This window comes from Homo sapiens, chromosome 2, assembly GCF_000001405.40.
Source record: "Homo sapiens chromosome 2, GRCh38.p14 Primary Assembly".
NCBI classification, from domain to species: Eukaryota; Metazoa; Chordata; class Mammalia; order Primates; family Hominidae; genus Homo; species Homo sapiens.
In genome coordinates this window covers 156,787,716-156,814,401 of record NC_000002.12, presented here as the reverse complement: position 1 = coordinate 156,814,401, position 26,686 = coordinate 156,787,716, and the positions used below count along the sequence as shown (strand labels likewise).

General features: G+C 36.3%; 1 long non-coding RNA gene across 1 annotated transcript in view; it reads right to left on the bottom strand.

Annotated features, from left to right (window-relative positions):
- The window catches only part of LOC124907897 (uncharacterized), a 77,991-nt gene extending 51,305 nt beyond the window's left edge, over window positions 1–26,686 (bottom strand). Inside the window, exon 1 of the long non-coding RNA XR_007087269.1 lies at window positions 26,464–26,686. This is a non-coding gene — a long non-coding RNA (uncharacterized LOC124907897). The remainder of the gene's footprint in view (window positions 1–26,463) is intronic.

The window sequence follows — 26,686 nt, the reverse complement described above, 5'->3', positions numbered from 1 at the left end:
GAATGTTACACTGTTGAATATCTGGATTTTGATATCTTCCTTAATAACGTTGAGGTTTGTTCTAGTAGGATGTTAGTTTACTTCTACATGGCTCGATCCTTTCAAAATTTGTTAGAGTAAGTCTAGAGCAGCCTTTTCTCTAGTTCTGGTGTAGTCCCAGTAATACAGGGTGACACTTTTAGGGTCTCTACCCAATGCTCCAAGTGTTCAATAATGTCACTGCACTTTGACTATGTTGCTCAGTTTACTTGTTGTGGTTCTTTTCCTGGCACTTGTTCTTTTTTTATGTGGCTATTCTTTGCCTCATATTGTAGAGTCTTGCCCTGCATATGTATGATCTTTATAGTATTAGGCCAAAGACTTAATAAGCCCCTATATAGACTTTTGGGGTTCCTTATCTTCCTTATCTGAATAGCTTTTTTCCACTGGTATTCTGCTTCACAATTCCAGCTTCTCTGAACACTGGTATCTGTCTATTCAACTCAGTGAGACTGCCATGCTCTATTTGAGCTTTTCATTCCTGCACGGCAGGCAGAGAATGGGTACGGTCACGGTACTCACCTTGCTTATTCACCTTCCCTCATAGATTACCATCTTACACTTCCTTGTTTCCAATATCTAAAAATGGTTATTTCATATATATTTGCCAAGTTTTACAGGTGTTTTCAATGGGAAGACTAGTCTGTTACCAATTATATGGCTAGACGCAGCAGTGTCTTCAGGTAATTTTGAGGTTCAACTGACTTTCGTTCTGCACCTGGGTTCCCTTTTATTTGCTATCTGCTAAATTTGAAAAGCACTTTGTCCTGACTGAGTAGTTTTCCCTCCAGTTCTAGAGAGAATTCCTCTCTTTGGAGTGAGGCATGTTGTTGAGAAAACAGATTACAGAAAACACAAAGTGGTTTTTTTTTTCAATTTGGTGAAGGTACAATTATTGAAAATACTCTGCAACTTTATTTGCTACTGTTCATCCACAGTTTTAAAAATGGGACTAAGTAAATCAGTAGCTATATATCCATGGTTCTCAATTGTCCACACCATTTCCAAAGTAGAAGGAGAAAGACTGCAATCCAGTTAAGAAGCCACATTGGGAGTTGGAAAGAGATAAGCCTATACACACTTCTTCTTTTAGTCCTGCCTTTATATCCTTGGATTACAATTCAATCGCCAACTAAAAATTTTTAATGCCTATGTCTTCCATGGCATTCCCGTAATTATAGTGCTTGTCCTCTGAAATTAGGGAAAATTAGTCAGTTACTGTAATAATTCTTTAGTTTGTCCTGAAGGAAAGTTTTATGTTTTGCAAAAACCTTTCTTCATTTTAAGTAATATTGGCTAGAACTTTTTGAAGTTTATTAGATCTTTCGTGCATTTCAGATCTGACTTCTATACTGTAGTAGTCATGACAGCTGTCCACCAAGTATTTCCAACTCCTACCTTCTAGGATGGTGGTAGATTGCGCTTCTTTAAACTGCTTCTTTGGAATTTAGGCTTCTTCATGTGATTTGCTTTGACAAATGAATTGAAAAAGGAAGGGAGTAGCACATTTCCAAGCAGAAGCTTTCAGAGCCAGTAAATGGTTCAACATGTCCTTTTCCTTTTCATGGATTGTGTTGAAGCATATATTGAGATGAAACTTACATCTGCATCAGGCATTGAGCAGAGACCCCAGCATGCTGCTGCCACTACCAGCAGCTGCACACACAAGGCTGTGTTCGGTTTATGGTGTGATTGAGAAATAAACCATTTTGTGATAAGTTACTGAAAATGCAGGATTGTTAGTATTACAGCATAATCTAGACTTTCTTGGCTAACATGTCAACCTCATTTTTCTCCTCAGTGATATCTTTCACTGGTTCTTATATAATATGTAGCAAATGTTGAAAGTTTTCTTATGCTATCTTTGCTGAAAGTCGAATGTATGTGTGTGTATGTGTATATCATTACATTATATTTATATATTATTAAATGTTATTACACACACATACATATACACACAAGTGACAATCAATCTCAACACAAACCATGGAAAAGGAGAAATGTAGTACTTTCTAAAAAAAATCCATAGAAATCATTAATGTTAAGAAGTGATGATTATCTACTTGGACATCCCAGATGACCAGATTTGCATTTTAAAGTATTAAACCTTCTATCAGAATGATCCTAGGCATCCCAAAGTTTAATCATCAGAAGGCCGTATTCAGAAGGCCTTATGGCTGTCATTAGGATAAGATTCTGTAGGTCATTGAAGGAAAAAAAATTAACTCGCAAACTGAGACAATATAAATTTGACTCAAATGGGGAACAAAGACTTCATACCCAGAAGAAAGACCCTACAGCAAAAGTAATTTAGGGGTGAGCGCTAATGCTTACTCATTTTTGATGTGGCTCATGCTTTTTTTTTAAGTACAATATATCAAATAGTTATTTCATCACAAAATTGAAAGAAGTTCTGAAAAGCTTGTAATTCAGTAGCGTGAGATTACCTGAGAGAAAAATAAAAAAGCATATTTTGGCAATCAGGATGAAAAGAAGCCAAACTTCGATAGGAAATAGAATATTATTAATATTAATAGCATGGGCTATTTCAGACTTGCCTACTTTCAAATTAGGCACTTCCACTTCATAGCTTTGTGATTCTGGATAAATTGCTTACTTTCTCTGAGATTCAGTTTCCTTGTCTCTAAAATGGAGATATTACCAGTATGCACCCAACAGTGCTATTGTATAGATTCAATAAAATAATACATCTGAAGTATTTAGACTGATGACTAGTATCTTGTTATATTATTTTATTTCAATAAAAATTATCTATCAGGTTTTGAGTGTAGGTCTTTCATTATTCGTGAACACCCTTTACAATTCTAAAAATTCTCTTACTGCTTTCCCAAATCTTCAGTGTGGTCAATCCATTCCACTGTACCCTCATGCCTTTGTATTTCTATTCATAGATTCTTAAGATATTACTAAATCATAAGTATTATCTATTCTAGCAACCTCATTACATAAATAAGAAAAATGGAGCCCACTCAAAATACTTCTATCCACTTCTACTTGCTTTACAAATTATTAATGTAACTTAATACTTTTATTTGTCACACATGTAATTTGCCCAGTAAATAATTTATTTTACAAATACTTGAGTGGATCATGTATATTAATATTAATATTTTATGAACATAAATAAGATAACTTTAACCTAGGAAGTCCAGGAATCATTATTTACTTGGGGTGTAATTCTGATAATCTAAGTTTTCCATGAGCATGTATCTTTGGGCATATGTTTGGGTAGGTTTTGCTGTGGGTCTTCTTTCTTTTTCACATATTGTTTCTAGATTTCCCACATCTAGACTAAAAGGAGGATATAGTAGTTCATAAAGTACTTTTTGAGCTTAACAATTTGTCTGTAGCAAAGAGCTCAGAAATTCTTTTTTAAAACACACTACTTTCAAAAAACACTACACAGCCCATACATTTTCAAAAGGAAGGAAGGTAAAGGAGAGAGAACTGAATTGGATTCTGACCACTGCACTCCCCTCAAAACTAGATTTTAGTCTTAAGACTACTACAAAAAAAGGAAGAACCAAATTCACTAACATTTACCTATTGTGCATCAATTAATGGGAACCTAATCACTTTTCTCTAACCTAAACCACACAAATTCTACTGTGCCTTATTGTTTTTAGCATCTCCAAATACTAGATATGATATTCAAATTCCAAATAAAGTAGTAAGATCTAAATAATAGTTTAATTCAGCAAACATTTATAAAAGTCACCTATGTGCCAGGCTCTGTACTAAGTGCTGGAGATACAGGTGAATTGTACATGTATCTGCTCTTGAGGAATTTCTAATCCAGGGGTTGGAGTTTGATAGCTGTGTAAAAAATACTTTGGTGTGCTAATGCAATAATTAGCACCAAAATACTTTGGTCTACTAAAGGCATGTGCTGAGAGCTCTGATAGCACCAAGGACTATGTATGGCACAACCTGAGGATCAGCAATGCCTTTTGGAGAAAATGTGGCTTGATCTCTATTCTCAGGATCACTGCATGTTAGCTAGGTACAGAAGGAAGAAAAGCATGTCAGGCAACTTTCCATGTGAGTCATTTCACTTGGTGAGTGGGGAGTGTAAGAGAGCAAGATGCACAGAACTGTGGGTACTGTATTGCATTCCATAGATGATGGGAGGCATTGAGGTATTTCAAGATGGGTAAAAAACATTGAGACGTGTTTGGAAGATACCATGAGCGTGTTCACCTGCCCTTTGGGGCACATGCAAAACTGCAGTTCTCAGGTCCCTGGTTGTGGGTGGTGCCATGTGATTAGCTCTGGCCAATAGGCTGTGGATAAGGAGGACATACGGCACTTCTGGGTGAAAACATGGAAGAGCCTGTCCATGACCTGCCGTTGTTCAGTTCCCTGCCATGGTGTTTGTGGAAGCACATTACAATGGGCTTCCTATAAGAACAAAGATGGATATAATGCTGAATCTTCACAAGGAGGGCTAATGCAGAAGACTTTTGGAGAATGATAAATAAACATTTGTTGTGTGAAGCCACTGAGATTTGGGTATCACTTGCTACTAGTGAGTAACCTAGTCTATGCTGACTAAAAGATATTGGTAAGGGTTTATTAGTGTTTGTGTATGAAGGCTGAGGAAGCAGAAGAAAACTAGTTTTTGTTTTGATGATTGGTTAGATGGTTTAATGTCTACTTAATGAGAGAAGATTCACGTGAAGAAGCTAGCTAAATTAGTTTAGAAAGATATACAAATGGCAGCATGATAACGTGCAGACTCTAAAGCATCTGTATGTCATACTGATGGATAAGTCTAGCCAACACTTAGGTATAGGAGCCAGAAGCACAGTGGATTCTTGGGGCTAGAAAAATAGGGACTTGAATGTTCTCATTAGGTGTAATAGTTAAAATTACAAGAACAAATAGGTTCATCCAAAGAAGTTGTGAAGCAATTATCTGCTGAATTTAGGCTAAGCAAATAACCAAAACCTCAAAACTCAGTTTCATCATCTGAATTATCCAATTTGGCTAAACACACTTTTAATAAAAATCAACTTTCAATGGGAGTTTTCATCTTCATAACTAGCAGCAAATCATTTTTCCTTAGCTTAAAATGAAGAATAAAACAGAAACAGAATGGGTCTTTCTATATTTGTCCAGTACAAGCATGATTTTGGTTTTCTACATCTTCTTAGATTTGGGGTATTTTCTTTGCATATCCAGTAGATATTTCACATTCGTTTGTGACTCTTTCATATGATTCTATTTCTTTATGAGTCTGGAATCCTGACTTCATTAATGATCAGTACCACCTATTCAGCAAAGAAACATTCACTCTGGAGTGGGCAGAAATTTTGGAAGCAGTATCCTTTTTACAAGTCATCATCAGGAGAGTGAACCTAAAGATTATTCAGGACAGTGGCTATTTCTCTTAAGAACATCAACATTGCTATTTATTTCACAGCAGACACCACAAACTTCTTTATTTTTTGGTTGCTTTTTATTTGCCTGCTCCTCGTCTCTCACTCAAACATGAGCTCAGTCTCTCTGAGGAAATCATCTATCTGCCTTGTTAACCGTTGTATTGCCAGCACTGAACCTGGCACATGGTGGGTATTCAATCAGCGTCTATTGTGTTTGTTGAGTGGATGGACAGGTATACACTGAGGGACAGCATACAACAAAATAATCATTTTGTCTCCTATGTTAGTCTGAGAGTATGATCAGTGTTTACTATTAAATAAATATTTAAAGAGTATTTAGTCCTTCCTTTTCTCATTCCTGTCTTTCATTCATGGGCTCATTGAATCTTTTCACAAATTCTCTATATTGTGCTTTTAAAATATCCCAAATCTGACCACTTCTTCAAGCTGTACCAATCTGGTCCCAACCCCCATTACCTCTCACCTGAATTACCACAGTCAATCGTTACCACTCTCCCTGCTTCTACCCTGGCTGCCAAGCCCTCACCTCTTCCATTCCCAGGTTAATTTCAATACAGTGGTTGGAATGATTGATAGTCTAAAAATGCAAGATCTTCTCATTCCTCTTCTCAGAGTCTTCCTTTCTTACTGAAATTAAAAGTCACTATCTTTACAGTAGTCACCAGGCCCTACACCAGCTAGCCAGTTGCCACGTCAATGACCTTACTTTTTATTGGTTTCCTCTTTACTCCCTTCCCCATACCAACATTCCATGTTTTTTAAAGGCACCATGCCTGCCCTACCACAGGATATTTGCTACTGCCTCTATCTGAAATGCCTTACTTCCACATATCCACAATGCTGGATCCCTCATCAACTTCAGGTCTTTGCTCCAATGTCATTTTCTCAGTGAGACCTTGCCTGATTGTCCCATATCAAATATCAGTGCCTTCCTCTGTACCCCTCACTACTAATCCCTTCAACACTGTTTCAGTTCTCTTCATAGCATTTATCACCATCCAACATATTTTGAATTTACTTGTATATTTATTTATTGTCTTTCTCCATATAGTAGAACACAAATTCTACAAAGGCCAGGTTTTGCCTGTTTTGTACAATGCTGTTTCACCTAGAATAGTGTTTAGCACGGAACAGATATAAAATAAATATTTATTGAGTGAAAAATCTGTAACTACTGTGCTAGTCCATTTGCATTGCTATTAAGGAATGCCTGAGGCTGGATAATTTATAAAGAAAAAGGGTTTATTTGGCTCACAGTTCCACAGACTATACAAGCATGGAACTAGCATCTGCTCAACTTCTGGTGAGGCCTCAGAAAGCTTATAATCAGGGCAGAAGGCAAAGGGGGAGTTGGCATATTACATGGTGAGAGAGAAAGTGAGAGAAAGACAGAGAGGGCCTAGACTGTTTTTTAAACCACCAGATCTCACATGAATTCACTACCCTGGGAGGGGGCACAAAGCCATTCATGCAGGATCTGCCACCATGACCCAAACACCTCCCACCAGGCTCCACCTGCAACATTGGGAATCACATTTCAACATGAGATTTGGAGGGGACAAACATCCAAACTATATCAACTACTAAACACCTTAGAATCAACTCTGAGCCAATGAGAGCTAAGCTGATCAGTATTTCAGAAGCCCCATGCTATGGTTTGAATGTGTCCTTCCAAAATTTATGTGTTGGAAACTTAATCCCCAGTGCAACAGTGTAGGGAGAAGATGACTGGGTGGGTCATGAGGGCAGAGCCCTTATGGATGGATTAATGTTGTTATATCAGGAGTGGGTTAGTTATAACAAGAGTGGTTTATTGTAAAGCAAGTTCAGTTCCTGGTGCCTCTTTTTTTGCATGTACTCACTTGTCCGCCATGGGATCATGCAACAAGATGTCCCTTACTAGATGCCAGCACCATGCTCTTGGACTTCCCAGCCTCCAGAACTGTGAGAACTGCTTTCTAAATTACCCAATCTATGGTATTGTTATAGTAACAGAAAACAAACTAAGACATCCCATGAAGGCAAGTGTGTGAGAGGCTAAAATTAAATTTTTAATTCTCGACTCTGGGCTGTAAACCTAAGGTATGTTAGTTCACAAAGACTTCAGCCTCCCTTTTTCTCTACAAGTCTCAGTTTTTAAGAGAACACTTCTGACCTGTTGGATGGCCTTGAACCCCAACAGCTTGCTCAGAGCCCAGGAAATACATCTCAAGTTTGAAAAATTATTTGTATTAAACAGTATTTTCTCTTACCTTTTAATTTAGGACAGTAGTGGTACAACAAATCCTATAACGTAATTACCTTTACCTCTTTTGTAATAACAATTTTTTTTCTTTTTGCAATAGTTGAGGTGGGAAAGAAGAAGGTATTCTACCAAATTATGAAAAATGGTTTTAGAAAGAAAATTATAAGTCAAACTCAAATGGAACCTAACTAGTATCTCCAAACTACTTTAAATCTAACTTATGGTTTTAACTTCATAAAAACTACAAAGTTTGAAAGCTGTATAGGCTTTGGAATATATTTTATCCTATTCTATTGATGTCCTTATAATGTTTACAGGTAATTATTTCATTTTCTATAAAAATATAACACATAGCACATTGATATGGTTTGGCTCTGCATCCCCACCCAAATTTCACGTTGAATTGTAATCCCCAATGTTGGAGGAGGGACTTGGTGGGAGGTGATTGGATCATGAGGGCAGATTTCCCCCTTGCTCTTCTTGTGACAGTGAGTGAGTTCTCACAAGATCTGGTTGTTTGAAAGTGCATAGCACTTCCCCCTTCCCTCTCTCTCCCGCTGGCCACGTAAAGATGTGTTTGCTTCCCCTTCTCCTTCTACCATGATTGTAAGTTTCCTGAGGCCCCCCCACCGCCAACCATGCTTCCTATATAGCCTGTGGAACTGTGAGTCAATTAAATCTCTTTTCTTCATAAGTTACCTAGTATCGGGTAGTTCTTTATAGCAATGTGAGAACAGACTAATATACACAATATGAGGATACTTTCACAATTTTCAATATTAGATTATAGAAATTACATTTTTTGCAATAGTTACCAAAACAAACAAGTGAAATGTGTTCAGCAAAGTTTCTAGAAGGCTGATTGGTAATAACAATGATCAAAATAATAAGAAACAAACTTAGCCACACTGGGGCCAGAAGCAGTGGCTCATGCCTATAATCCCAGTACTTTGAGAGGCCAAGGCAGGCGGATCCCTTGAGGTCAGGAGTTCAAGACCAGCCTGGCCAACATGGTGAAACCTTGTCTCTACTAAAAATACAAAAATTAGCCAGGTGTGGTGGTGTGCTCCTGTAATCCCAGCTACTTAGGAGGCTGAGGCAGAATAATCACTTGAGCCTGGGAGGCAAAGTTTGCAGTGATCCAAGATTGTACCACCGCACTCCACCTGAGTGACAGCAAGACCCTGTCTCAAACAAATGAACAAACAATAACAAAAAGCTTAGCCACACTGGAAGACAAGAATACAAAGTAGACATTTATATATAAATTTAAAATAAACAGATGCACACACAAAACTGTTACTTATCTTCTAAGATGCTATCAGTTTAATCTTAAATTCAGACTAAACAAAGTATTTGCAGGTAAAACCATTCACCAAATATCTACCAGACAGCCTTTAATCTACTGCATAGAGTAGACTATGATCTAGGACAGGAATGTATTTTACCAGCGGCTAAATCAATAGATAATATAGCCAAATTTACCTCTTATATTGAAGATTTCTGTGTTAATCACCTTTATGCACAGATATACGTCGCCCTGGTTGTCACTGATACTCACTCTGGATTAGAAAGTGTTTAAGGACAGTAAGAACCCCAAGCCTTGGCTGTTAGGAGACTGCTAACAGAGCCCCGAAGCGCTGTCTTGTTAAGGAGCAGTTCAGTGTTACTGCCTTTGCTCTGCACTCATTACTCAGCCTTCCATTCAGTAACCAAACATACTATAACAAATACAAAAGCAAGATAATGCTTGCGAGTAATTAAACTAGGAACAGGAAGATGCCTCTTTAGTATAAGATGATTGTTTCATAAAACAACTCATTCCCAACAATCTGATTTTCCTATTTACAAAACAAATTTTGAGACGTAAGAATACTTGGTGGCACATCCCCTTTTCATGGCATTTTCCTAATTTTATTTATTTGAAATGAAAAAAATAATTTCAAAAGTAATAGTATTGATGGCTATTTTTCAAATTACCTACATATATATTTTAACCTGCACAATATCTTTATGGAATTAGTTATTTTTATTCCCCCTTTTAAATGAACACTTTCTTTCTCAGAAAAGTTAAACAACTTGTCATATCATTGGTAGACAACAAAACAGAAAGTTTTTCAGACGCTAACGTCCTGCTTTCTCTCCACCAGCTTTCTACTTCAGGGACCCTGGAGGTCTCATTCCCACCACAGCCAAACTCAAAGGTCACACACACAGACACACATATGCTGGTCTATATAACCCCCCTCACCTTTTCTCAAGGACCTATGGGACCCTAGTATCAAAATACTTAATTCGTTTTGCAGCATAGAAAGGGCTGGCTTAGGGAAATCTGCCCCATTCCTGTTTGCAATAGCCTTAGGAAAGTCTAATTGTCAGTGACCTTTAGGGAAGTTTCAACCTTCAAGGCAAAAGGCCTTGGCCCAGAACCCAACTTGCCAAGTGCACCCCCTGACACTCTCCTGACCCACAGCCATGAGTTTTACGAGCAGCCCACTCTTTTAATATCCTCCCTGGTCACCACCTGACACTCACACGCCCGGTGCAGAGAGACTGGTATGGGCCAGGCAGGAAGAAAGCGTGCAGAGGGATTAAAAAGTACCCTGCTCATGACTTGAAAGTTTGTAAAGAAAGTACTGAACACAGACTTCCCATAGTATCAAAAGGAAAATTTATGCATCGCCTTTGAGTTCAACTTCTCCATTAAAGCTTTTCCCCTATAATCTAGGGAGTTCTTATCTTGGTGACTTACGATGTTATGGAGGGGCTCATGCATGGAAAATGTCAATAGAAATAGTAACTCTGGAAGGGAAGGGCCTCCTAATTAGTCCCCATTTAGATTTTATGATGGCTTTGAGATCTGCTCATCCTGACAGTGCGCACTGTGGTTACATATTGTTCTAGCCTGAGGGAACCATAGGAAAATCCAGATTTATTGTACCTATCATACCAGCATATTTCATTTGCCATTATGAGCAGCCATCTCGCAATGATGCAGGAGTATTTATTACAGATTAAATTGTAGGACCTGGATGGTTTAGTGAGGTTCTTGAGGTATCATTTATGTCATTAACTGGCTCATTATCAGATCTGCAAATCTCCATTCTTTTCTGTGCCTTCTGTTTGAGCCGGGAGCCTTCCGGGCTGGAGCAGCTTCCGGGCTGTATTTTGTGGTGGCGTGGGCATGAAGTTTGAACACAGAAAAAGCAAATCGCTTGCATCACCCCCTGTGTTGTTGTTTTACCTGATTTCCTGGAAGGTCGTGGCAAATCCCTCTTACCGCTGTTTGCTGGGGGTCAGGGCAGGAAGGTTCCTGTCGGGCTGCTCAATTCTGACCAGGTGCTTGTGGGTATGGAGGAGTAGAGGGGGCGGGGGTGACTTTGGAGCTGCAGGATTCAGGGGATTTATTTTCAGAGGTGACTAACGCTAATTAGGTTAGAAGTGCCTGGCTGCCTTCTAAAGATGCAGCCTCCAGTTTTTCTTCTCTGATAAATAACCCTACGTTTGAAAACCAGGAAGGGAGAAGAGTGTGTGCAATTTAATTGTGGTTATTTAAGAAGTTAGCTGCTCTTCTGTGTTGATTATCTGCGGTGAGAGGGCTCAGTTTTCATGTCTTGGTGCCTCTGGGACTACGTTTTAATTCTACCTGGGAAGCTGAGTGAAGAGGACTCACTGATGGCCGATTATGATATATATATATATATATATTTAAACGTAGCAGAATATTCTTGCCTAAAACAGGCTGGTGAGCATTTTCAGGAAGGAATGCTGAGAGCACAGTGTTCATCCCCCTACCTCTCTGCTCTGGTTTAGTTCTTCTATTTGCATTTATTGTTTGATTCAAAGTGGATGGTGGAGTGGGGCGGGGGGGTTCTTTGTTGTTGGTATCTGCCCTATTTACCCTCCTATATTGCTTTTTCATAAAACCCAGGCAATGGCATTTAAGTTGCTGTGTTCTTTGGTATTAAAATACTCTCCATACAGGAACAAAAGTACCTATAGAAATTCTGAACTCAAATTCACAGATTATCTGAGAGAGAAATGCCTTGTGATTTAATTGTTGAGTATAATTAATTCACTGCATAGACAATCGTTGCTGGTAAAGGCGCATTTTCACAAAGAAAAATTATAGGTAGGAGCTATTTTGTATTTTTAAAAAGGGATTGATATTATATTATACAGCTGGATTTGAGACAACAGAATTGGCTTACCGTCAGTATTTGCACAGATTAATCCTTATAAAATAGTTTCATTCTTTAAATTGATGAAGCCACATAAAATAATTTTACTATTGTCTGAAACTCAGCAGAAGGTATACAAACTGTTTCACATCTGCAAGAATCAAAAAAGGAAACAAATTAAAATGCCCTGGTTGAACCAAAATGAGCATTAGTGAATGTATGGGAGGCATTTCAGACCACACACTGAATTTGACCAGGTTTAGCACATGAGAGGTCCCCAGTCTCCTGAACAGATACTGAGTAGCCACTTCTTTTAATCAGTTATATCAGAGGGAGCTGCAAAAGCTTCTCATTTATACTTGTGGCTTGCAAGTTAGAGTTAACGAAGCAATGTAGAAAGGTCAGAAGGAATCATTTTTACTTCTTGCCACTAAGCAGGATAATTTAGAAGCTTCGTAACGATGCTGTTGCCTCTATGTTGTTGTAGTGAGAATGGACTACCCAGCTCTAAAGAGAGCCTGTCATTTTTACTAAGCAAGATTCGATAACAAGGATTATATAATTTCTAATTTGCCCTTCCTGATATTCATTATCTCTCCCACATATTGTTTTGAGATGAGACATTTTAGGACAAATAGCATGCAGTCATTATTGTCACCCGTCTGCAATGTGCAAAGCAAAATTAGCTTGACTCCAGGAGTTTGGTTTTTGTTGTTGTTATTTTTTCCCCCTAAAGTTTAAAAGATTTTTAATTATTTCTAATTTGCCTCTAAAAGAAATTGTAAAATTATATAACTTTTTGTAAAGAAACATATTTAGGCCTCAATTCCTTATACCTACCTCTCCCATCTAAATCTTTAAATTAAGAAATGTCACTTGTAAGAAGAATTTTAAGGGGAACCTGCAAGATTTTTGTGGCCCATTTATTTTTGTTCTGTTACCTTTAATATTGCTTTTGTTATTTATTTTCAAGTCAACCCTTTAATAATGGCTGAGTATTGCAACTGGAATAAGAAGCTGATCAGAGAATTATGCTTAAAATAACATAAACATTCAGATTTAAGATGATTTTTCACTAAATGTTTAATGACATCGTCTTATATCAAAGCTAATTTTAAAGACTGTCTATTTTTAAACAAGTGCAGTATTTAAGGGAAACATCCATAAGCACAACTCCTTGTAATGTTGTTTATATAGTCCCTTGATAAGTGTGTTAAGCGGATAATTATATACATGTATGTATATATGCATGTATATGTGTGACACCGTACCTGCGTGGTTAGCCAATTAAGCAGAACTTAGCACTAAATGAGTCATCTCTTGTACTCACTGTATACTATAGGCACTCTTGAATAAATAAAATCTGTGCTGCTATATAAATAGCTTCCTTGAAATAAGAGATTCTTATTTGAGCTTTCTTTGTAATCCTCCCGTCACCAATCTTAGAGCTTGGTCTTAGAGCATTATAGTCTTAATATTGAGCTTGCTCATTAATCTCTGTCCTTTTTTAGGTTAGTCTAGGCTATTCTCGTAGCTGTAGTACTCACTGGGTTGCCGTAGGAACAAGAGATCCGAGTAAATATGCTTATGGAGAAGAAATGACTACTAATTAAATGTGAATCGCATTTATAAATTGCCTAGTTCTCACAAAATGCAGAACATAATGTGCTTTGATGTACTTCATTAGTAAAAAGCACCTATATTTTTAAAATATATACTAGCAGAGAAAACCAAATTTTAATGCAAAAATGATCTTTACGTGGTTTCATTTTTCTGCCGACTATAAATCCTGTAATTTAATGCAGATATCCTTTTACTGCATTTACATGGCAGAGGACGACATTTGGTTGGCCTGTGAAAGTGCTGGAAACCTTTACTATTCCCTCACCAAAATGTAATTCCTTTTTTATTGTTAGATGTATAGCTTTTCTATTACATTTTAGACAAAAAGAAACTGGCTTATAACGTCCACTCCAAATCTAGGTAGGTAATATTTTCACATCACACAGAGTGCTGTGGTCTTTCCTGCCTATTGCCTGTAAAATTGGGACTCTGGTGTGAAACTACAAAGCAAGCTTTCAGTCACGGGTAGCTTTAGTTTTGCTTTGTTTAATGCTGAAAAGCACCTCTCACCCTTACCAAGATGTTAAGTCCCCAACTTCATTAACATTCTGCATGTCACAGCAGATGACCTAATCAGGTTTCCCTTTATGATTCTGCAATTCAGGAGTACAATCATCTTCTTTAACATTTTGTCATTTCATTTGAGGAGCTGAGTGTTTGGGATTGACTTATTTCCAAACAATTGATAAAGAATTGGTCCACAGCACTGTGGCATAACATGATTATTGCAAGCCCTATCTGCAATTCCAGGACAGGCAAGCTGTTAAGTTAAATGGGCCGTGGGCATAGTTATGTTAACTTCTAGGTTAACTGAGAGAACTATCGCAGTTTGTTGTTTTCTAAAGAACTTTCTTCTCAGAAAGATTGCTCAAACAACTGGCTGGCAGAATATCAAAGAAAAATAAATGTTAGGGTCTTTTTAATGCCTTGGATGACATTATAGTTCCCTTTGTTTTAATAATATATATGTATATATATTCAACAAAAGAAAATGCTCTGCTCGCATCCCCTTTTTCCTCAAAATCAGAGCAAAGTGTCCCCTGTCACAATGAAAATCCTGGGTGACAGAGAGTTTGCTTTTCATTTGACTGCATAGAAATCAATCCTGTGGTTCATATAATCTGAGCATGAGCAATTGACTCTAGGGAAGGTGACTGTCTCACCCTTGCTATGTGGGTGTGATTTGGACTACTTTTTCTTTTTATTATCTTCTAGAAAAGCATTTGTTGCCAAGCTGTGTGCCAGGTTGAGGGTAGTAACTAAGATGTGTTTATTTTCTGTACTGATCTTATTCCCTGAAGTAACTAAACTCTAACTTTTCATATCTACTCTAGAGGAACAAAAGTGGAGTCAAATGATGCTTAACACTTAATAGGCATATCTGTGCTATTTCTAATGAATACTATTCTTGTATAGTGGGTTTTTGTGCAGGATCTGGATTTTATGCAAAAAAAAGTATTATGGGGTTAATAAGGTCTGATGAATAAGATTACTTTAAATTATGGACATTTTGTAGGCCTTCAGTAAATAAATGTTGAATTTAATAGAATAATAAATTTTTTTAATTATTAATTTGAGTAAAATTTGAATATCAGCTTTCTGAATTGAATTTTTCCTTAGAAGCAATATAGAAAAAGGCCTTCTAAATTAAAATTACATTATTTGAGTTTTACTGAATTGGCAAGATTGTCTGAAAGGAGATTTTGTTCCCTTACTAAATCATAATTGTTTTTGTTGTTTTAACTTGAAAGGAAGGGCACTGCAGACATGCACCAGTTGGATTCACAATATTGATTTCAAACTATATATTTAGGGAATATTATTTTATTCTGGTTTTCATGTTCAAAATCTTTGAAAATCTATTTGAGATTAAAATCAGATAATCTAAAAGATAATAATAGTATATATTATATTATAATAATATGATAGATAATTTTCATTGAGTATTTGCTATGTGCCAAGAACTATGCACAACACTTTATTTACATTATCCTTTTTAATTCTCAAAAAACTCTATGAGAGAGTAAAATTATTGCCTCATTTTTAGGTGAAGATGAAATTCAGAGAGATTAATTTGCTCAAGATGTAAGTGATAAAACCAGGATTCAAACCTTAGCCAAATTCCATAACCTCAATGCTTAACCCTTTTATCACACTTCTCATTTTCATCTTAGCTTTACTGCAATAGCCCATTCTTTGTAATATCATATATGCTTTATGTCCACTTTAGACTTTCATTTTTCTTTTCTTTTTTTTAACCTTTCCTATGGTGCTGATAAACTGTTTTCTTTAGCTATTCTCTCTATATAGTATGCATAAGTCTCTTTTTCTTTCACTGCTATCAATATAGACTGAAAAATTGTGGCACCCTCGCAAAGTATCATGTAATTACTTAATTACATGATACTTTTATACATTATAATCAATTTCCCATTTGCATGTCTTGAGTAAACTGGAAGCCATGGATTTTTAGTATCATTTTGCCATTCACCTAGGATTCACATCTTCTTTTAAAGATAACAAAGATACTTTATTTGACAGTAATTCAGGAGATAAAAATATTCATGTAAAGGTTATGTTCATCTCAAAAGATTGATTTTTATATTAAAAATAAAATAAAACATTGATTCTTAAACCTATATGAGGATTAAATTATTGATTTGGATTAAGAACCAACCTCAATAGTTCCATAATTTTATTGCTTCTGAGGTTCCATTTCTCACTTAGAAAATCAACTTAATCTCTTAGAAATGCCTTATGCAAGGTCCTTTCGCATTTACAGAAGTCAAAGCTTATGATACTTTGGGACTTGTAGTGACTCTTATCTCTAAGCACCACAAAGTACCATAAGTAGATTGTGCTGTTGCTCGCCCTCATTGCCTGATTATCCCAGCCACTCATAAGAAGAATAACATTTCAAGATTGGACCATAGCCAACTCAACTCTAGCCAACTGAAGACACTAAACCAGAGGAGTAATGTAGAGTACATTTATGTTCTAAAACAGCTTAGAGATTTTTTACTAAGTTTGATATCCTGTAATTTTAAAATTTCTTAAATATATATATTTATGTCAGTCAAGCAGGATACATTTACTGAGTATCTCTTCTCAGTGAAGATGGACTGATGGGAGAGAACCCAATGAAAGGACAAAGACCATCTAGCTACACCTCATTCCAGTCGTTGAACATTAAATAAGTCACATCCTCCCCAAGTGTCAATTTCTTCCATTGTTAAAGTAGATTTTAAGCCTACTCTGATTACTACACAACATTCTTATGAGGGTGATGTGAAACAACAGATGTGGCAGTTTTTGAAGAATCGTGAAACAATATATAATTAAATATATCTCATAAGCTAAGTTTTTTATCTTCCTGAAAAAGCTAGGCCCTGCTAGTCCTTTTTCCAATTCTCAAAGCACAGCCCTATTAATGAAGAACAAGTTTTCATTGAAAGGCAAAATTTTTATTTTGTTTAGGCATGACCACACCACTGAATTTTATACAGCTTCAGTTTTTTCATTTCTTGATCTATATGGCTTCAATAAACCACTTATGAATATTTAAGGACAGATGAACAAATTAACATCTTTAACAAACTGTAACAACTTGACATATTATCTGATTATGTGATTATTATTAGGTAATAATAATCAATAGAAAACATTTGTTGAGGCTGGGTGCAGTGGCTCACGCCTGTAATCCCAGCACTTTGGGAGGCCAAGGCGGGCAGATCACCTGAGGTCAGGAGTTCAAGACCAGTCTGGCCAACATGGTGAAACCACATCTCTATTAAAAATACAAAAATTAGTCAGGCATGAAGGTGAGCACCTGTAATCCCAGCTAATCAGGAGGCTGAAGCAGGAGAATCGCTTGAACCTAGGAGGTGGAGTTTGTAGTGAGCCAAGATAGTGCCATTGTACTCCAGCTTGGACGACAGACTGAGACTTCATCACAACAACAACAACAACAAAAATTGTTGAAGGCTGACTATTCTAGGCATTGTGTTTTGTAATGAATGTATATTGTTCAATCCTCATAACAACCCTGTGACTATTTCTTTTTAATAGATTTTAGATTTGAACTCATAGATGACTTAGCTTTTGTTCTTAACCATATTCATATTTCCTCAGTCTCAGGGAATTAGGTCAATTAATTTTTCAACAAACCATATCTTTCTTGCGTTTAGCAGTAAAATTTTTGAAGGCTATATACTTGCTGAAATTATGTTCAAATGCTTGAATCACTATGTTAGATATGAATGCTTGAATCAAATGCTTGAATCGCTGTTAGACATGACTTTTTGTTTGTTTGTTTGTTTTGTTTTGAGACGGAGTCTCACTCTGTCACCAGGCTGGAGTGCAGTGGCAGGATCTCGACTCACTGCAACCTCCGACTCCCTAATTTAAGCAATTCTCCTGCCTCAGCCTCCCAAGTAGCTAGGATTACAGGCACAGTTCACCACGTCCAGCTAATTTTTGTATTTTTTAGCAGAGACAAGGTTTCACTATGTTGGCCAGGATGGCCTCGATCTCCTGACCTCATGATCTGCCCGCCTTGGCCTCCCAAAGTGCTGGGATTACAGGCATGAGCCACCACGCCCAGCCAGATATGCCGTCTTTAAATATGTATCATCTTTTAAAAAGACTCACTAATTGTATTTTCACCTTAGTTTTGTGTCCAAACCATATTAAACAGTTTATTTATTAAATTAAGAGTAATTTTTCACTGGTTTCCAAAACAAAAACCACACACACAAAATAAAGATTCTGTTTCATTATTAAGTATATGTTAATTTTATGTTCTACTCTCTAAAAAATTATAAAAATGTTCTGAAATACATTGAATGCTGCCAATATCACTGAAAAATATTTTTAAAGACATGAGATGATATCTTTGGAAGGGAAAACAAATTACCCAAAGTTTTAGGTTTCAGTAAGTTGCTTCAAAATGTCAGAGAACAAAATTTATTGACTTTTCTTGGAATGCTTTCATTTCATAAACTGGGACACTGAGGCTCAGTGGGTAGATTGAATATCCCGGTTATTAGTTGAATCCCTTTCTCCCAAATAATAATGTTTGACCCCATTATGGTTCTTTCTACTTGTATCTTGTATTACTTACCAAGACTAGAGGTAGACAAGTGACAAGTAAACTGTGATTATATGTTACATTGAACTCCAATACTGTATATATAGTATTTCCCAAAATCGCTGGCAATTTCCCATAAAACTACACATGCATCATTCACATATTTCTTTTTTATAATATAACTCTTGTGCCTGACTATAAGCAACTAGATGTTTAACAAATTCAATAATCTGCTAATTCTAGAAATAACTCCTCCTATAACTTCTACCTCAACAAAGAAGCTTCCTAGTATATGACCTGTTTGGACAAACATTTAATGTAACAGTAAAATTTGAAAACAACAATATTTCATTTAAAAAAACTAACCAAATTATCTATCTATCTATCTATCTACAATGATTTGTGTCAAACCAGTAATTTGAATTTATAATCCCTGATGTTAAAAAAAAAATGCTTTCTTGAATGCAGTGTTTCCTGTTATCCTTGAGTGCCTTAAAATTTAACTGACTATATACATTTACTGAAAGACTATTGTGTCTTGGGTTCTGACTACACAAACCTGAATAAAACATTTTCACAACCTTCAACTAGTTTACAGTAAAATAAGAGGCAACCAGTAATAACACTGTGAAGGGGATAAGTGTGATAACCATGGCACAAAAGCAGAAAGGGGCCTCCTGCCTCATAGAATCAGAAGCATGGGGTGAGGTATGAGGCTAAATAGAGGAGAGGTGTGTCCCAGGTAAAGACACAAATAAGTAAAGGCAAGAACTTACGAAAATGGTTGGCGGGTCTGGGAAGGAGAAAAGTGCAGAGTTCACAGAGGCAAGAACGTGAGGTGGGGAAGGGCAGAATGAACTGAAGAAATTAAAGATAGAAATATTAGAGATAGATTGTGTGGAAACCCTCTTGTTAAGGAGTTTAGATTTTACCCTATAAGCAATGGGTCATCACGAAATGTTTCTGATTAGAGGAAAAACAGGATTGTGTCTTTGTTTCAGAAGGATAACAGCACCCACACAATATGAAGTATTTTATTTTTTAAGTAAAAGTATTTGTATAATTAAATTTATTTTTCAATCCCAAAATATTTTTCAAATAAGTAAGGGTGCTTCCCATATTTCTGAACCAAGTTTGATTTTAGATTTTAGGAACTCTTCAGCTCTCTTTCTGTCTGTCATCTTAAATCTTACCTCCAGAATGTCCTTACTTTTTCCCCTTAGGGTATTTTTAATGCAAATATGAAAATACACCTACCACCAAATGAAATTTCACTTGTTTACTTTCCCATCAGGGAAAGCTAGCTATCAGGCCAGGTAGAGTGAATGTTGGTTGCTGTTTCAGCATGCATTTCCCTTTTTTCTATCACCTGGAACCTTATTTCCAATGAGATATTTACGTGCTTCTAGGTAAGTTCACGCCTTCCTCAGATCAAGCATGGAGGCTTGTTTAAGACTAGATTAATCAGTGCATTTCATCCCCCTGGTTGAGTTACTGCTTTAGAAGTGAGCATGGGTCCTAAGTTGGTTCGATCACACTAGGTTTCAGAATTTTACTAAAAATATTGAGACAAAAGCATTGTATTTTTTCTTTGCTGAAGTAAATCAAGAAAGCACCTAGAGCTGAAAGCTGCTGTCAGCCAATGTGATGTCAAGAGGGGAGCTGGCTGAGGTTGGAGGCCTGTAGAGAGGAGGAAATGAATGGAAAGAAAGAAATCAAGTCCTGTTCAAAAACCTGGAGCCATTGGGTCCAGAATCACTGAAAGCCAGGCTATCTCTGTATTTTTAAGTCACTGAAGACAGTAAAAATTTTCTTATTGTGAAATTACACTGATTAGGCTTTCCGTATTTACAACTAAAAATACTGTTAACTGCTAGCTATCAGTGCTCCTTGGATTGCAATAACGGTGTGCCATTTCCTTCTAGGTATTTTCTTAAACTTTCCTTCTTCACATTTCAGGATAAGATGTTTTCTATATTTAAGAACAACTCATACTAAAGTATTTTAATCATTTTTCATATTTCTCTATGATTAATAAGTCTTGAAATTATACTAAAATAATTGTATGATTTAAATTTCATATCAGATTTATTTAAGTTCATCCAAATAAAATTAAGTTATACATTTGAATGAGGAACAAGAAAATTTGACAATAAGTATGTTGATAGACATGTGCAACGGTTATATTTTTATAATTTCTTTTATAGTTTTTAGAATAAGCCAAAATACATAGTTGATTTCAAAGCAATTGATTTTCAATGATCTTTAAAGAACTTCATATAAGTTCCTGATAACTTTAGAAAGTCCTTTCCAAAATAGTCCTTGGGAGAAGACTCAGAATAGTCAGGCAAACATTTTGAGAATCTCAAAGTAGCACAAACAAGGGAATCAGGGAGGTGTAAGTAGATGATATTGTAAGTTTAAATAAAATTTCAATATATATGTAGAAGACAAGTACCAAGAAGGCATTTTTCCTTTCTTTCCCTAACCGAATGGGAAATGACAATCCTAGATGTCATTAGACAGATTTTCTATTTATTAGTTACATTGTAATTCTCTGTAGTAAATAGAACCCTCAAAGAATGGTAAGGAGAACTGCTGTCCGTTTGTAATTGTCTTAGTGTAACAGACTATTATTGAAATTCAACGAACCTTGTGGTTTTATCTCTATAAACTTGCTACTCAAAGATTGGTCTGAATGTGGCCTTAGATGTGCATATAAAATGGGACTCATGTTAAAATGCAGATCCTGGTTCGGTTCACCAGGGGTAAGTCCTGAAGACTCTATTTCTAACAATTTCCAGCTGAAGCTGATTCTACCCACCACAGCTTGAGAAGCAAATATATGCCAATCCTTTTAAAATGCAGGATTTAAAAGTGTTAATGTACATATTATCTTCAAAATTCTGTTTTTATGCCACGTGGAATTTTAGGCTGGATGGTATCTGAGAATTTCATAATAACTGCTTCATTATATATATGAGAAAACTAAGGTCTTTGGAAAGAGGGCTTTGGCTGGTCTCCTCATCCCCCGACCAGGGAGGAAGAGCTGTTAATCTGGTTGTTCAGAGCCCAGGACATTAACTGGGCGACTTGTTACGTGAGCGTTAATGTGCCTTAAAGGTCAGTGTCTGTACAGTATCCTCTCTCTTCTTCCTGCCATGAACACTCACTCTCCCACTTTCTCCATTTGTGCAGTCAAGTGGGCGAGTTAGGCAAAGCCTGTTCTGCAGAGCCGCTTGCTGTCTTCTTCTGGCAGGAAAGTCCTGTGCTTTGTGTGGAAGAGAGGTAAAACTCTTTCTCAGCTCCAGGCTTTAGGAATCAGCGTTATATTCCAGTTTATCACAGGGACAGAGATTCTTGTGAATGTGGCAATGCCTCACCAAACACGCAGTCTGCTGTAGACAGATAATGTTCCTTGACGTATGAAATGAAACTAAGTTTAATGGGAACTCTCATTATAAATCTTCTGAAAGCATGTATTCTGTGTGCTAGCAAAATGATCTAGAATATAGTAGATCCCCAATAAAAATATTTACCAAGTGAGTGATTGCTTCACTTTTATTACATTTAGATACTGTTGTATGTAATGCATTTGTTATACAAATTTTTTTCCCACAGTTGGTAAGTTTTTGAAACTGCTGCAAAAATGACTTTATTTTCTTTGAGATACATCTAAAATTCTTACCAAACCATTGTTTTTGCTTGTAGTCACTAACCTTTGCTTCTCTTCCTCACAGAAACATGTTTTTGCTTATTTATGAAAAATCATTATAAAAATAGAACATGAAGTCTCACAAATTTCACTACCCAACGCTAGAATTTCTTTTTCCATAAAGATGCCCTTGAGACCTAGTAGGCAGACCCTTCGTCCCCAGAGCCCCCTTGGGATGTTTCCTAGTACACGCCTCCCCTTGCAACATGGCTCAAGTAAGAAGTGGATCCAAAGGTGCAGCTCAAGCTGCCCTGTGATCGAAGAACTTCCTAACGTGGTATGAATCTATGGTACTTCCCAAGTATATGACAACTTCTCTTGGGGCCTTTTCATTTCCTCACATTATCATTAAATTATGCAGAATAGCAACCTTTGAAAAAATGAGACTGCATTTCAAATTATTAATAGAAAACCATGAACCTTCAGATTCTCTTTGTATCATTGTCCTATAGGAAGGACTCTTCATTTTCTTTTTTGTGCAGGTGAAAATTTACTCAGGTTCACATCAGCTAGTCATTCTGATCGCTGTGTTGCAGATGGAAAGTGTACTGAACAAACTTGTTATTGCTTTTGTTCTAATATGACATCAGATAAAACTGAAGCTTCTATTCTAGTTCGGAATTCCAAAGGGTATCCATAAAAACAAGGATCTGTGATTAATTTTCAATCCTTACTTGACACATCTGTAGTATTTGATACGATTGTTTACTCCTTCATTCTGAAAGTATTTGATTCACTTAACTTCTAAAACACATCCTCTTGATCTTTTTCCCACCTCATTGGTCACTACTTTTCAATTTCTTCTGTTATTTTTTTCCTCATTTTCTATCCAGCTTCTATGCATTGAAAACCCTCAAAGCTCAGCCCTCAAACCTCCCTCTTCTTAATCTCCACTCATGTCAAGGGTGAAACTCATCCAATCTGCTGGTTTTAATTGCAATTGTGTACTCACTACTTCCAAATATGTGTTACTAATTCCCACCTGTCTTTCTTAAATTCCAAGTTCATAGATTTAGCCACCTACTCAACATCTTAAAATATCTTAAATTTGAATATATTCAAATCCTCTTCACCTCTCACTCCAATCCTACTTCTCTAGCAATCTCAGCTCATGTCGGAAAATAGTGACTCCATTCAAGTTACTCAGGGTCCAAGACTTGGAGTAATCTTTGCCTTCTTTCTTTCTCTTGAAACCCACATGCAATTCATCAGCCCATGTTTACAGCTCCACCTTTCAAGTAGATCATTAGCCAACCACATCTTTCTCCTTTTATGACTATCATCAAACCACCACTGCCTCTGCCTTGGATTTTATAGCCTCCTAGAAGATGACCCTACTTTTGCTCTTGTCTCCTTGTCACTTTGCTCACAACCTCCAACAGCATCTCCAAGTAAACCAAAAATACAAAAACAAAGAAACAATGCAAAAAATTCATCTTTCACTAGTCTAAAAGGCCCCATGAAATCCTCTCTGACCTCTTAGACCACAGTTTCTTTTACTTCACTTCTTCCTTATCATACTGCCAGCACCCTGACTTCTTCCTTTTCCTTAAACATGCCAGGCCCATGCTTGGACTTCTCTGCCTTCCCATAAAGCCTACTCCCTCACCTGCCTTATGTGTTTGGTTGTAAGTTACCATCTTAATGAGACCTTTCCTGATATTCCTATTTAAAATTGAAATGCTTCTTCTAGGCCATTCCGTAACCTGACTTCCGCCATATTTTTCTCCATAGCATTAATAAGCATTATAATTATTTCATATGTATTGGTTTATGGTCTGTTCCCTACCAACTATAATATAGGCTCTGTGACAGTAGGGGCATTTCTGTTTTATTCAATGGTATGTGTTTCCTGTGTTAGATAATAAAGGTATTTAGTGAATAAATGAATGAGTAAAACTATACATAACTAACAAAATGAATAATAATAATGCATAAACATTATATATCATTATAATGCATATATATTAATTTAAAGGGATCTTCTTTCTACCTGCCCCTTTCACTTACACTCAGTGTCACAGATTCTGCAAACAGGCACTAAAATTTGAGCAACAGTTAATATGCCTGAACTTTTTGACAGACATCATAGCTTTGCATTTTCAAAGTTCTGCTCACCCTCTAGAAAGGAAAACTTTGCCTTGATGTTACACTTAAAAATTATTTTAAAAGTTGTTTCTTCCTTTCATTTGTTCATTCTTTTTTATTTCTTTTCCTACTTTCTGTCTCTCTTTGGTTTTATTTATTAGCTTATTTGTTTATTTTGCATATAGTCATGCAGTCTCATCAGTTATGGCCTTTATCTTCTTCAGGCATTACCTACATTAATTTGGTCCCATGTAGTTGCATCATTGGAGGATCTCAGCTCATACACAGCCATCCTACAACTTACCTGTCCCTATATCATCTCCCAAAGTACAGTGTTTAGGCATATAACATGAGTTTGCAAATGAGTAGCTATTTCTTCACCAAGGTTATAATTGTTTCATGTCATTTGGATTTTCAAATAAGAATTCATTGTCCTAATAATAAGTATTTTATTTGTTCCACATTTTATTATTCACTATCTTAGACTAAAAGAATGAAACACAGCAAAAGGCCTTCTTTTAACTTGTGTTTGACCCATCTAGCTGTTAAGAGTTCATTATTTTATTTTAATTGCCTAATTAAGGTAAAATAAAAATATTTTCATGTAAAAATCTCATTAAATGCACCAAATGCCTCAGTATGTCTGTGCCCATTCTGGAGAGGAATGTAAATTGTGTTGACTACCAAAAGCACTGGGGGTAGATATACCAATATTGCTTGGTACTGAACTGGCAGTTTCGAAAATCCTTACTAGAAAGTGTTGCGGGTCACTGTAAAACAGGCAAGGGTTGATTTGATATTTGATTAAATAATCATACATATGTTTATGCAAAAAGTAGCTATGGGCTCACCCCACTCTACATTGCTTAAGTGTACAATTAAGAATGTACATTTAAAAGAATGAAAATAGTGACAATAAGCTGGGGTGCCCCCTGTAATATCTTACAATATTCTGACCCACCTCTTTATTGGGGCATAGATCTAATATTTACATTTTTATCATTTATGTAAGACTTATTCACTGTAATTCACTGGACAATAACTTAGAAATATGTCTTCAAAATTGTTCTCTCTGAAAGTAGATGATGAAAGAAAAGAATGGCATTTGTAGGACCAATTAATTGTCGGATCAAATTATTTATAAAAATTGTATAATATAAATTCAATAGCAAATAATTAGAATAAGTAATTTTTTTTCTTGTGATGAGGGGAAAACATACCTTTCTAACTCTCGTCCAAGGTCATTAGTGAAACAGGATCAGTATGTGTAATTACAATATCATGAATACTTAAATTTCTCCCATGCTGAGAAAGGCATGATAAGATTACAGCTAGCACACTGATTTTGCTACATGACCTTTCAACTGGAAAACTCCAACAATCCTGCCTTAGAATGATCTGTTACGTTCTATTCTACCTAACAAAAAGAAAAATCAGGGAAAAGTCTGAGATCTAAGAATTTATAGTTTGCTCAAAAATAGTCACAAGGATATGTGAAGCTTGTAGGTAAGATATTCATGATCCAGTAGTCAAAAGCGATTGTTTCTGGTATGGACTCAATGTGCTCTCCCTGTTTTGCATTTTTCTAGATTATGTACCTTTAAGTTTTCCCAAATGTAGGCATAATTTTAAAAAAGAAAATGTGGACATATTAATGAAACATTGTGTGTTGCAGTGGGCATAATAATTTCAGGGAAATTCAATTCCCTTCAGTTCAGAAGATTGTATAAGTTAAGTTCTGCAGGATTATATAGAATAAAACTTCGTAAATTTGTGTATAATACAACATTTTTTATTCACAACTCTTTGCCTCACATGAATGCATTTTCCCAAATTGTGTGCCCATTAAAATACAAGAAAAGAATTACAAGTTTATACTGATCATCTTTGCATATGCCATCTTGTTATTTAACTGTATCATCGCACAATAAAAACTCTATTATATAATGTCTTTTTAATTTATCTCATTATATGTCCCACCATGGCAACTAACTTAAAGAGTATAGTAGGTACAAAGATGAGAAAGGCTTATGTCCCTTGTGAGCACTTCTTCCTACCTGTCATGTCATCTGGCATACACCTCAGCTTGCTTCTATTCTTGCTGTAAAGTCCTTCTGTGGGTAAGAATGACCAAAAAAATTTATATTTAAAAATGGCATCAACCACTGAGAATAGGCAGAGCCCCAGCATTGCCTTAGTTTGCTGGAGGCCTTATGCTGGGCAGATGTTAACTTTCTAATTGTCTTTTTGCTGCAGTAGTCACAGGTTCTCTCTAGAGGT